Source organism: Homo sapiens, chromosome 7 (assembly GCF_000001405.40).
Source record: "Homo sapiens chromosome 7, GRCh38.p14 Primary Assembly".
In the NCBI taxonomy this organism is placed as follows: Eukaryota; Metazoa; Chordata; class Mammalia; order Primates; family Hominidae; genus Homo; species Homo sapiens.
The window spans coordinates 17,288,298-17,301,767 of NC_000007.14; the positions used below are offsets into that span (position 1 = coordinate 17,288,298).

Genomic DNA, 13,470 nt, shown 5'->3' on the forward strand with positions numbered 1-13,470 from the left:
AGCAATATTTTTCCAAATCTGCTCAAAATCTTGCCAGACATGGTGTTATGTCAGTCCACTTCCACTTACAGAATTAGCCATAGTGCTTCTAATTATGACCACTGCAAAAAAAGTAAAAATACTAGTAAAATGTAAATTGAAGTGAAAGCTATTCATTTATAGGAAAGGTATCATACAAACTCACAGACATTCTTAGAACTGGAGATTTATAAAATTTAGGTACCAATTGAATATGCAATTGTTTCTTCTGCATTATTTGCCCAGAAGAACCAATACTTCACAAACTGTGTTTAGACTTTATTAGCTGAGCAAAATTAATGACAAGAGAATGCCACGAGACAATTTTGATAGTTGCTTTTCATATCATGAATACTTATCTTTCAAAAGAGGAAGCAATGTTAAATATGCTTAATATGGTTTAATCCTCTCAAAGACTTTGTAAGGTATCAATGAAACTTGCACATGTGTGTCAGTTAGGTTTTAGTACAGGAAACAGATAAGTTTCAGGTATTTCAAGTAAATAGGGATTTAAAACAGGGAATAAAATGCTTACTAAATCTTTGGGAAGGCTAGAGAGAGAGGCTCTAGGCTGGGAATTCAGAAATGTTTCCATAACACTGTAGAACTGACTTATTAGAGAAAGATGACCTTTGCTTCAATCAGAAAAGTGGGGACTTCAGAAGTCACTATAAAATTTATTGACTTCAAAAACACACCATTGTAGCCACAATTAAGAGATCAGGGAGCCACTACTGCTCACACCCCTACAGCCTCTCAAACCCTAGAACTTGGATGCTGGAACCCATCACAGAAAACTCATATTTCCACAATCTCACTTATTAGCAGAAAACAATGGAAGCAGCAGGAAGATGACCTCCACTTGACTTTTGCTTCCAAATCTCAACAAGTGCACCTAATTGGATGAAACTTATTTACATTTGGAAGTTTAATGGCACAGGAATCTGGGAAAATTTAGTTTTTAGCTTTCCAGCTGCTGTAGTATAGAAATACACAGAATGGAAAAGTGCAAATGGTTGCCAGTTGGCCATATCCACCATACTGAGATTCAAAGGTTTTAGAAATTTCTTATCCAAGGTCACAGAACTTGTGAGTGCTAGAGCAACAAACTTGAATTCAAAGATTTTGGCCACTTGCCCAGTGCTCTTTCCACTACATCAGTCTACAGCACTGATTACTCTCTGAAGACATTTGCCAAAGGAGACATATTTTCAAATCTTGTGCTAATTATATTTTTCACTGAAGCATTAATTCAGGCATCTGTGAACATTGTTACCTTTTAGTCTTATGTCAAACCTAGTTCTTCTTCCAAACTCAGACTTAATCTTATTTTACAGTAATTACAGTTAAACCAACACTGCTAGGGTTTAATACCTTTGAGTATTTTTCTCAGCAGGCTTGCTGCTTAATCCATTTAATGTCAGAACAACACAAACCTTCTTATTAAAATGGGGGAAAGGACGTTATTAGAGACTGCATTAGTGGTCTTTTCTTCTTTGGGGTAAAACCTACCAATATGGCAATATTTGCACCTTATCTTTATTTTGTTTTCTGCTGACCACATACAGAAAAACATTAAAAAAGGAAAGATTTCAGATGTTAAATCCCCTTGAATTCTAATTACACATAAAAGTAGAATGAAAGCTCTCTGAAGCAAATATTCCTAGATTTGTACTTTAATATTAAAATAAAAAATATGAACTATGCAAATATTTGGACAAAATGAAAAAATATAATGCCTCAGTAATATTCATATTCAATTAAATCATCACTTTCATTTCAAATGCACTTTAAAGTAATTTGGGGAACATATTTTAAAATGTACATACAATGACCTAAGTACAAAGATTCCTAACATATACCTTAAGAGAAAAATAGAAATTACTACCTAACACTTCTGATTAGACTTAAGCAACAATACTATGTTAAAATTAAAGAGGTGATTAAATTCATATAAATAAAAGGTACATATCATGATTGTAGTTAGAAGAGATTTGATTGCACTCTTTAAACAAGGAGATAATTATTGTTCAAAAGTTGTTAGATCAAGTGGATCTAGTAGTTTTGTGCTAAGAGCATATAGAAAAGAATATAATAAAGAAACAATGTATGTGGTTGTTAAGGATCAAATAAAGACGTTATGTGAGTCTTGTGTAGGTTAGATTACATCAGTATCACAGATTATTTATCTCCACATATTCATTAGATACAGAATGTTAACTTTATAAGAGTTGGCAAATTTTTAAATCAAAAGGAACTATTGTATTCAGCACACAAAGCAGTGAAGGCTGTGATTAACCTCAAGAGAAGTTTGGGGTGCTTACTAGAGAAAACAATTGATCCTGAGATTTTTCTGAACATTTCTATTTGTCATTGGAATCCGTCTTTTGTAAAAGACTGTTTTCACTCCTGAAAGTCATTATGTACTCTCTCTGTGTACACACACACACACACACACACACACACATACACACACCCCTCTATATATAATATACACACATATAAATGTTGAGGGGTATATTAGAGAGATCACACAATAAGGCTTTTTCCTTTGCTTTTTACATAGGAAACTAAAATAATAAGTTCAATTTAACTTCTAAATTCATTCAGATTAGAAAGAAAAATAATTAAAAATTGTGATAGTATTTTTTTTGTTGAAGGATCTTTTACATTAAAGTCAGCAGTATTATTTGGTAAGTGGGCTACAGAGTAGAACTTAAAAAATATATCCCTATCTCAGTTATCCCACATTTTTAGTATCTTATAAGAAATGACCAGGCCGGGCATGGTGGCTCATGCCTGTAATCCCTGTGCTTTGCGGGGCCAAGGCAGGTGGATCACCTGAGGTCAGGAGTTCGAGACCAGCCTGACCAATATGGTGAAACTCCAATTCTACTAAAATTACAAAAATTACCTGGGTGTGGTGGCATGCACCTGTAGTCCCAGCTACGTGGAAGGCTGAGGCTGGAGAATCGCGTGAACCCGGGAGGTGGAGGTTGCAGTGAGCCGAGATCGCGCCACTGCACTCCAGCCTTAGTGACAGACTGAGACTCCATCTCAAAAAACAAAACAAAACAGAAAAACAAACAAACAAAAAGAAATGACCAAAGACCATAAGTTGTAAACTACAGAAGTTGAAGTTACCTTTATAATGATTTTATATATATGTAATTATATATATTATTTAATATATGTATGTTTGTGTGTGTGTACTTGCTTTTTAAACAGACTTATGTTGGACATATATTTCAATGTCAAAGACAGTGCTTTTCATTATTCTTTAGGTAAAATAATGAGGTGTACATGACTCTAGTAAGAGCTAATTGGAAAATTATAATGTTTGACACTCCTTTACTGTTTTGTTTTCTTATTTTTTGACTATTAATTAAAAGGATGTGTAGAAAACATGAAAAATTAAGTATTAATTTCATGGTGACAGATATTTACCATCTATTTTTTCTGAGCATAACATATAGTAATATAGAACTCAGAAATTACTGGCTTAAATCAATGCTATTGTTTATTACCAAATTAACCATTATTATTCTAGTCATCTACTGAGGAGTATAGTTTCCAAATAAAACTTAAATTGCCACTTAGAGACTTGACCCTAAAGATGTAATGACATAAAGTGCTCAGTTTTGAGAAGTATATTTCACTTTGTGTACTGATGGATTTTCCTCATCTTGTTGAGCAGATACTAAAAGGTAAGAAAAGGGCTATTAAGTTACAGCTATTAAGTACTATTTATTATTATTGAAAAAAATATCATCTTTAGGTTGACTGATAATGACATTTCTTTTAGAAGGATTGAGTGTTTGTGTGCCTAAAAACCACGACCTACTTCATAACTGGCTAATACCTTCAGTATGAACAAACTTTTTAAGAATAAACTGCTGTATGTGAGGCTACTTCTTTTATTAATATTTCATGTAGGGCATGTTTATAAATATTTGAGAAAATTCTATCAGAATGTCAACCTTTTTTATATCCTAAAATAGGCAAATACTAATTAAAACAAAATGGTCTGGGGGATTGAATTACCCTCTACTGACCTCCATTTTTCTCATCTTGTTAATGCAGTTCTTACTGAAATTAACATTTGTCTGAACTGTTCAAGAGTAACTAAAAAAAACCAAAGTTTGCATTTTATATCATTCATTTACTTTACATATACAATCAAAGCACTCTAACAGGTTACAGATTGGTGTTTTTACTCATATAGGTGTATGTCAACTTTCTTTTATAGGGGAGATTTGCTTCAAAGAATTATACAAAAAACTGGCATAAATATGACCACTCACAAAATGTGTTTAAATAAGTAAATAATATGGAAAAATACAACACAAATATGTAATGAATATTTGAAAACCCTGGTTTCTGAAGAGTTTAGATAGGGATTGTTTACATTATAATCTACTTGGTATTTCTTTAAATACCAATGTATCCCAAAATAATTATTCGATTCACATGCTTTTCTCTGAAACATATTTGCTTTATGTAATTTATTTAAAGGCTCAGATAACCAGAATGAATTCAACCTAACGCAAGGATTAAAAGAATGTAAGAGATCTGTCCAAGATCTGGGAATACATCGAATCCTTCCTACTCATTTTCATCAGAAGCCCTCGCCTCTGTGAAGACAGATGGGAGCTCCATCTACATTCAGGCAGGAAGGCCACTCAACTAAAGTTTAAAGTTTTACAAGGAAAATTCCTACAGCTTGCTTTAGGAGGGAAGGGTGGAGAACATTCTGTTTTACAGGACACTCCACCCTCAGCTATATCCCCTTGATTAATTATGTAACCAGATCTCCTTCATCAACTTACCGATTAGGTAATGGCAGGTATTTCTGATGCTTGGTATGGGGTCTGAGTGAGGAGGGTCCTAAAAATATTACTTATGCAGCTGTTTTGCATAGCATTAAAGTGAAAAGCTTTAACTTGCAGTACAAGTTAACATTTGTTCCAGACTTTTTTTTTTAAACTATTATTTTAGCATGTAAGCCTTATAGACATAAATCCTGTCTACTGATACATTATAAAGTCTCAGAAAAGTCAGTGATTATATACAGGAAAGTAGATAAAGGAGAAATTTCAAATGCATAAGAACAAGCAAAAAGGTATTCGTAAGGTATTAGAAACTATTAGCATTTTAGTATAAATAACTGGTGAATACAGCAAAATGAATAATTTGTGGTTAGTATAAATCAGCTAAATTCTTGTAATGCACAACTAACTACACATATTCTTCAGCCCACGGAGGCCATACAATGGAGATTTGGGATTCTAACTTTGTTTTCAAAATGGAGAAGTGCAGAAACTTTGAATCTTTTAAAATTTATCTTCCATCTGTTTCCTGTAATATCAAGATTTAGAGCAAGGTCTAAAGCTTTATCTTACGTAAAAGCTGGGTGCCTAATATGTATCTGTCCTGACCTCCCATGGAAACAATTATCAGGCTTCAGATATTTTGTCTCTCAATTTTTTAACTTGAAAGTACATGGCTATTTATTTTTGCACTTATTTTTTGTTTTTATTGTGCAATTTTTCAACATATGGCAAAGTTGAAAGAATACCACAAATGTTTGTATACCTTTCATAATTGTGTATATGTGTATGTGTGTGTATATATATATGTATATATGTATATATATATATGTATATATGTGTATATATATATATGTGTGTATATATATATATATATATATACATATATATATATGAATGTTGCAGCATGCATTTCCTGAGAATAAGGATCTTCTCTTTATTCTAGAGGTATATACCTCTACAGGTGATAGAGGTATATAACCACAATACCTCTATCACCTGTAAAATCCCGATTCCAGGACACAACATAGATAAATTAAATAAAAATTTTTGTAGTGGAGCCAAGGATCCGTAATTTTTACAGTTCTCAAGTGACTACAATATGCAACAAATGTTGAGAACCACTGTCCACACATTAATTAAATTTGTTAAATATTTTCAGTAAAGAATACATTTTGTTTCTTAATATGAATAAGAATGATAGCCTTTTAAAGTTTAGCAAATCTAAATTATATATTTTAGGTCAGCATTTTACAATAATTTACATTTCCTTAAGCTGTTCTTATCAAGTTAATAATTTTCTTTGTTAAATAAATGTATTTTATCTTAATTTCAGTTTCTTCTATATCATGATTTAAAATGCAGAAAGTATGTATTATGTAGTTTTCAAATATATTTATCTCCAAAGTTAAATGGATTTTAGTAAAAATGATATTTATACATATATATTTTAATAAAATGTTTAATAAATTAGACATGAATCTTAGCATGTGAAACATAAAACTTTTTTATAACTTTCCCCATAATCAAACTTCAAATTCGTAAGAATTAAAAGTCCGGAAAGAAAGAAATCGAAATCCAAACTTACTGCATGTTAACATTTTAATAATGTACTTTCATGTGTTAAAAACCTAAATGTTTCTTGCAACAAAGCATTATCCATAAGTGAATAAAAATAATTTTGACTAATAACAAATTATTCCTATCTTGTAGTTTCTTTGTCAGAATTAAGATTAGCATTATCTATTAATTACTTCTCTGTGGCTTCTATGACATTGTTGTATCCAAGCAAGTAAAGAAGACATTAAGCATTTAGAAACAGCCCTTAGATGTCTATGTCTGTTCTTCAGTGTTAGGAGTAAAAGCAAGCAATGTGTAAACTGATTATTTTTAATAAATGAATCAGAACAGTTCAAAGTCAGATAAGTTATACATTTTAGACTGGGGCAGAAGTCACAAGACCCAGATTCTAGGCTATGATTAGCAGGGCACTTGATCTCTCTGGGCCTGAAGTTTCTCACCTGTTAAATGAAGGATTTAGTTATGCCAAAGGTCCCAAACTTTCTCAGTTCACAGCATTCCTAGTGTCTCAGTAATTTTTTCATGGTGTTGCAAGCTAAAAGAAACACCTAACAGTTCCATTTATTAAACAGTTAAACCCAAACTTATGTTTGTCTATCCTAACAACTTAGTAGCTATTTAAAAAATAATATACATTAACATTTTTTATTCTTAATGGGATGTGCACATCTGTTGGGCACTTCATAACTTCTCAAACTTAGGAATAAACTTGGAAACCGCTACCCTCATTCCTGTTCTACAGTAATTTTCCCATAGTCCTTGTGTTTTATTACAGCAATTTACAAAAACACAGCCTCACAAAGATACGATGTCAAAAGGAATGAAGTACAATTTAATGTGTAGAAGTTCTGAACTACCTCAAGATAGTGGTTTGCACGGTGTCCAACTGATGTCACTGTGTTGGCCTTGAAAATTTAAAATATCCCATGATAGTGCCCCTGTGAGTTTGTTGTGGTGCTCCTGGGGTGCCTCAGTACATAGTTTAGGAAGCATGGACTACCCTCTGTAAAATACTTCATATAGCTACAATGTGTGTTGTAAACTGTAAAAGACAATTCTGAGGGCCTGAAGTAAGGAGCTGCAGAATTGAAGAGGAGATTAAAAAGTGATACATGTTCAGTCTGCATGAAATTCCCCTTCCTCCCCAGGTCACCTATAAAATGCCTACCTATGCCTACCTATAAAATGCCTACCTATGCCTCAAAACTCAGCTCAAGCTCCCTCAGGGAGGTTACCAAGTTACCCTTACCAAGTTAAATCCACCTATTATACATTCTCACAGTATTCATTTCACAGTACTTGTCCCAGTTGTAATTATACATTCATTTGTGTAACTATCTGGTTAATTCTTGTCTCTCTCATTAGAATGTAAGCTCTAAGAGGAAAGAACATGTCTGATATCACTACTGTAACCCACAGTGTCTGGTATATTATAGGGGCTAAAATCTTGCTTAGTGAAATGAACTGTGATAGAATAGGTTTAGCATTCATTTTGATTATTTTCCTTTATTCAAGAACAGCTGATATTTATAATAGCATTCCTAAAACATTTTTCTCATACTATTTCGCAGGAGAAAGAAACCCATACACATACAGCTGCATCTGAAACCTCAGAAACTAAGCTCAACCCAATTGATTAAAAGGATGTTCTTTGGATAAGGTAATCAAATGTTCACCGACTCTTATAGCCAAATTAATTATTATGAGATAAAAATCACGTAACTACAAAAAAAAAAACTGCTCACAAAAAAGTTTTTAAATCTTAGCAGATGGACACAAACCATACTTTGAGAACCATGTTCCACAGTGCCAATACAGGAAGTTTCTAGATAATGGCAGCTCATTTTTTAAAAATGGCACTACACTATACTGTATTCACATGCCAGCAAAACTGTTAAGGTAAGTTCATGTCACTATTAAAATAAAATGAATTCTGGGAATTTTGTTGATATTCAATTTTAATCTTAATTATGCAAAGATCTGTTACTTAACTAAGACTATGTAACATAATATAGCATATGACTTCTGGATAATGAAAATAATCCTAAACTTAACCATAAAAAAATAAGGGTATGAAAGTCAAAATAAGGTAGAAAATGACTGCACCAAATAGCCAACAACCTTAAAAAGGGTAGGATTTTTTTAAATCACTAAATTAAGATTGGTTCATTGCATTTAGTACATCTCTTTTATGAAGAGGAGTTATAAGCTACAGAATCAATAAATTATGTTTTGATATAAATTTTTCACCCTTAAAGTTCCTAGCTAGGAGGAAATTATTCTTTTACACTTACACGTTTTAGATAGAATGGCTATAAGTAAGCACAGATAAATGAAGAAATGAAAGAGAAGGGAAAAATAGAGATGGTTGATTCTGCCTCTGCAATTGCTAATTCATAAACATCAAACTTTCCCAGTGTACACTGTCTTCTTTGGGAATTTGCTCCATCTTTTTCCTTAAACTGAAAGGTGGCTTACTGAGGCTATCACTTTCCTAAAGGTCTCCCCAATACTGCCTAATTATTTTCTCTTATCACAGGATACAGGGTGGATGTCCATCTACTTCCTTGTTGTCACTTCCCAGATCACTTTCACTTTATGCTCTTCTAAAATTAAAACAAAGATCATCGACCACAAAACACAATTGTTCTTTTGTAGCTCATGCTAGAATACCCTCTTTGTTACATCTCCTTCATTTTTCTGATCCAAAATTTAGTAGCCTACTATATCTCACCCACTGTCCTTCTTTCCTCCAGCTATGGTAGAGAACTGCTCCTCCAACTTTATGTACATTTGAATCACCTGGGAGTTCCTGTGAACTTCGGGTTCTGATTTAATAAGGACACCCAAAGAGTCTGCATTTCCTGTAACTCTCAAAAGAAGCTGTGGAGTACTCTGAATAGCAAAGCACTGTAAGTGCTGTTTCTGTTAGTATCTAATCTATTAGTCCTAATCTCCCATTTATGCTTTGGCACTCATTCCCTCCTGCTTTCGGTATCTTAATATCTATCATTCCTTCACTCTTCCCTCAGGTTCCCTACATAGTTTATCTCTACCCCCTCTAAGCCGCTCAGTATCGCCCATTAAAGAACTAAACCAAAACTAGAAAACCCTCATTTAACCCTTCACTCCCCCTACATACAATCTGATGTGTCTCTCATCCACAGCTAAACTTGGAAGAAAAATTGCCTGCTTGAGGATGCCATTTTGTTATCTTCAGCTCAATCCTGTACCCACTTCAATGTTATTTGCAGGCCCATTACCCCAACACTGCATTCACGAAAGTCATCAGTGACTACACATTGAGAAAACAAGAATGACATTTTCAGTTCTCAACTAATTTGAATTTCTCAACAGTATTCAATATTGTTAATTACTCCCAATATTTTTCCACATGGTCCTCCATGACACAATACATAATAGTCCCCTTATTATCTATATTCCTGTCTATTGTAAAGACTTCCCCCGCACACCAAAAAAGGTCAAGGAAACTCCTAGCCTTCAAGTCTCAACTCAAATCTGGCCTTCTGAAGCCTTCCCAACTAGGAAAATATACAGTCCCATTGGTTGTCTACCAGTTGTCTACCAGTTAATTGTAATTCTTAGCCACAAGTTAGCTGACCCACCGTCTCTCAAACAGGTGAAGTTAAGCTCAATATTTGGCATATCTTGATATACTTTGTACAGTCTAGCTACAATAAGTTTGCCTATGCACGAAGATGGCTACCGGCGGGGGGGGGCGTCCTTACGTCCTACGTCATCACGTGCCGGGATGAGGGTGGGGCCCTCAAGGAAGACGGAATGGAATCCAGATGGGCGGGGGCAAGCAGGACGGGGCGGGGCTACGCGGGATCTGGGCGGGGCGGGGCCGGTGAGGGGTCGGGGGTGCTCCTGCTATTCAGCCGGTGCGCGCGGCGGCGGGAGGCAGTGGCTGGGGAGTCCCGTCGACGCTCTGTTCCGAGAGCGTGCCCCGGACCGCCAGCTCAGAACAGGGGCAGCCGTGTAGCCGAACGGAAGCTGGGAGCAGCCGGGACTGGTGGCCCGCGCCCGAGCTCCGCAGGCGGGAAGCACCCTGGATTTAGGAAGTCCCGGGAGCAGCGCGGCGGCACCTCCCTCACCCAAGGGGCCGCGGCGACGGTCACGGGGCGCGGCGCCACCGTGAGCGACCCAGGCCAGGATTCTAAATAGACGGCCCAGGCTCCTCCTCCGCCCGGGCCGCCTCACCTGCGGGCATTGCCGCGCCGCCTCCGCCGGTGTAGACGGCACCTGCGCCGCCTTGCTCGCGGGTCTCCGCCCCTCGCCCACCCTCACTGCGCCAGGCCCAGGCAGCTCACCTGTACTGGCGCGGGCTGCGGAAGCCTGCGTGAGCCGAGGCGTTGAGGCGCGGCGCCCACGCCACTGTCCCGAGAGGACGCAGGTGGAGCGGGCGCGGCTTCGCGGAACCCGGCGCCGGCCGCCGCAGTGGTCCCAGCCTACACCGGGTTCCGGGGACCCGGCCGCCAGTGCCCGGGGAGTAGCCGCCGCCGTCGGCTGGGCACCATGAACAGCAGCAGCGCCAACATCACCTACGCCAGTCGCAAGCGGCGGAAGCCGGTGCAGAAAACGTGAGTGTCCCGAGCGCGTCCTCATCGCGGGGGCTGGGCGCTCAGGCACGCGGGTGCGGGAGGCAGCCCCACCCCGCCCCCAAATCCCTGCGATCCTGGGATTAGGTCCATTCCCGGCACTGCCCGTGGAATCGAGGTTTGGAGGCCGGCTGGGAGACAGAGGACTTGGATTCTCCCGTTTTCAATGATTGCATTTTAAAAATTGTCCTCCCACCCATCCTCTTCCCCCGCACCAGTGCATACACACCCTCTCACATTTGCAACTTTGTTCTTTCTGATTTGGTCCTGATTTGTTGACAGCTCTGATCTGCCTTGGGCTAATGGATTAGTTAGTATAAACCTGTCTTGAAATCTCCTTCCACTTTTCATATCCGCATGGGTTAGGTTAGAGGACGGTCTTAATTCTCATTCTTCGTAGAGTTTGGTAAGGCGAGATGTTTTAAAGAGCTAAACACATGCTGACTTTTACGAAGGGGCTGAGTGCCTCTAAAGGTACTTTTTGGTCCCCACCAACTGGCTTTGTGTTGCGCTCATATTTACTTATTTGGCAGCAATTTTGTAGCGCTCATCGTGACCATATCGGTAAAGTGGATAGAAGTGGTAGCAGGTGGGAGTGGATGCAACGGACAGGATACGGTGGAGGATTTGTATTCTTCAGACATCTTTTTCGGAAGCTTGCTTATCACTTTTGGGGTGGCTTTAGGGTCTGTAAAATAAAAGATTTAGAACTGCATTTGAGAGAGGTTTTCATTCTTAACATCTACCTCTAATTCTTTTCCCCTTCAAAGTTTTCTTCTAGTTGAGTGAGTACAAACTTGCTTTTGTCGTTGTCGGTTGATTTTGGTGGAATATTTGTGTGAGATGGCCAATTTTTTGTGTGTGTCAGAAAAAACTATCCGTGCTCAAAACATTTCCTGTTGTGAGGTGGTTGTATTCATGTGTTTATTCCAATTTTTTTATTTCTAGATCTCTGAGTTACTTTACCTACATGTGTTTCAAGTTTTCGTAAACAATTTTAAGAACTCTTAAACGTCTTCTCAGACCAAATCAGAAGTGTGCATTTTGCTTAGACTCCAACTATCACTAATGGGAACCAGAAAAATAACACTTTAAGATTTACATTTAAAACCAGTTATTGGTTTAAAGTTTCATTCTAAAATTTTAGTTTCCTTTCAGAATTTCAGTTATCATAGTTCTTCAGAAGTATACTTATGAATTGGCATTAACAGAGGATAATAATCTATAAATAGACTGATGAAAATTTGGAAGTTTTATGGTACAGTGTGTCTTAAGGGAATATTGTCAAACCAGCAGTTTTCTACCTTGGCAGTTTGAGACATCGGTTATTAATACTTTTAATTTTGTAGAATGGTTTCTTATATTAAAGTATGTTTGTCTTATTTGACATTGTCATTGATGGTTAAAGTTGGGAGGCATCCCAAATGTCTGTTCTATGTGTTTATTAATATAATAATACACTTAGCATCATATATAATAGGGGTGTCATGGGTTTTATGTGTATGGTGAGAAAACATGAAGATCTCCCTGATGTGTTTTTAAGATACTGGGTTTCAGTTAGGGTGTTATCAAAGGACCTGGATGGCTTTGTAAACAAAAACAAATGCCATAATTTTGTATTCATTACACAGTTTAACATTTATGGATTTTGGTTATTTTGCGTAAAATGTACTTTTTATTAGATTATCCTAATATTATACTTACTTAGTTTTTAATATACTTGTATTAATTTCTTATAATATAACAAAAGTATTTTTTCCATTCACCCACATTTTGTTAGCATAGATGTTTATCAGATCTCTGCTGAGCACCGTATATTGCTTCTAATCATACAGATGCCTTAAATATTACCAGCTTGCTCTGTAAGAATAGGCTAGTGCTGGCATTTTCATTATCAAGTGAAAGTGTTTATATAAATTATTTTTACCTGAATGAAAAATTGTTAACTTTATAATGCAGTTAATCAAAGTTTATTTTAGAAATGAAGTCATTAAACCTAGTATTAAATTTGAGTTTTAAAATTAAACTACCAGTTTGTGGCCTAATGAGCCCCAAAACATGCCAACATTGGGGAAAATAGATCTTGTTTTGAGCTGAAAATGCTATCCAGACCTACTTAACTTTGACCTCTTAAATGAGAGCCATTTTATTTTATTTACAGATAAAATATGCTGTAGCATTATTATAGGACTGTTTAAAAAGACAGCCAATTAAATATAAATTTTATGGAATATAAGTATTCCATAAAATTTTGGAGTAAAGTAGGTGACAATTGTAACCTGAAGCTCTTTCAATCTTGAGTTGAATTTATTAAGAAAAATCAACCCCCCCTAGTGGCGGCTCTCACATTGAAAATTATCTTTATTAGTAGGAAATACATTTTAAATGTGTTCAATTTAATCCCACTGAAGTATCTCCAA

General features: G+C 36.5%; 1 protein-coding gene and 1 long non-coding RNA gene across 8 annotated transcripts in view, besides 3 other annotated features; one reads left to right on the forward strand and one right to left on the reverse strand.

Annotated features, from left to right (window-relative positions):
* The window catches only part of LOC101927609 (uncharacterized), a 164,409-nt gene extending 153,386 nt beyond the window's left edge, over window positions 1-11,023 (reverse strand). For 4 of the 7 annotated variants that reach the window (XR_007060235.1, XR_007060236.1, XR_007060230.1 and 1 more), the window contains exons 1-3: window positions 10,055-10,166; window positions 6,869-6,976; window positions 2,933-3,074 (exon numbers count right to left, since the gene is read on the reverse strand). This is a non-coding gene — a long non-coding RNA (uncharacterized LOC101927609). Of the gene's footprint in view, window positions 1-2,932; window positions 3,075-6,868; window positions 6,977-10,054; window positions 10,167-10,762 lie in introns of those variants that run through there. The other 3 variants (XR_007060232.1, XR_007060231.1, XR_007060234.1) reach the window with 2 other exon arrangements.
* The window catches only part of AHR (aryl hydrocarbon receptor), a 47,496-nt gene continuing 44,380 nt past the window's right edge, over window positions 10,355-13,470 (forward strand). The window contains exon 1 of the mRNA NM_001621.5: window positions 10,355-11,032. Within this exon, the coding sequence (NP_001612.1) occupies window positions 10,968-11,032 (65 nt within the window). The 5' untranslated portion in view covers window positions 10,355-10,967. The remainder of the gene's footprint in view (window positions 11,033-13,470) is intronic.
* Window positions 10,630-10,779: a silencer, noted in NCBI's record as "silent region_17983". NCBI's record gives its function as "represses an Ori minimal core promoter by ATAC-STARR-seq in GM12878 lymphoblastoid cells {active_cell/tissue: GM12878}" and the evidence as "EXISTENCE:reporter gene assay evidence [ECO:0000049][PMID:35858748]".
* Window positions 10,830-10,939: a silencer, noted in NCBI's record as "silent region_17984". NCBI's record gives its function as "represses an Ori minimal core promoter by ATAC-STARR-seq in GM12878 lymphoblastoid cells {active_cell/tissue: GM12878}" and the evidence as "EXISTENCE:reporter gene assay evidence [ECO:0000049][PMID:35858748]".
* Window positions 10,980-11,029: a silencer, noted in NCBI's record as "silent region_17985". NCBI's record gives its function as "represses an Ori minimal core promoter by ATAC-STARR-seq in GM12878 lymphoblastoid cells {active_cell/tissue: GM12878}" and the evidence as "EXISTENCE:reporter gene assay evidence [ECO:0000049][PMID:35858748]".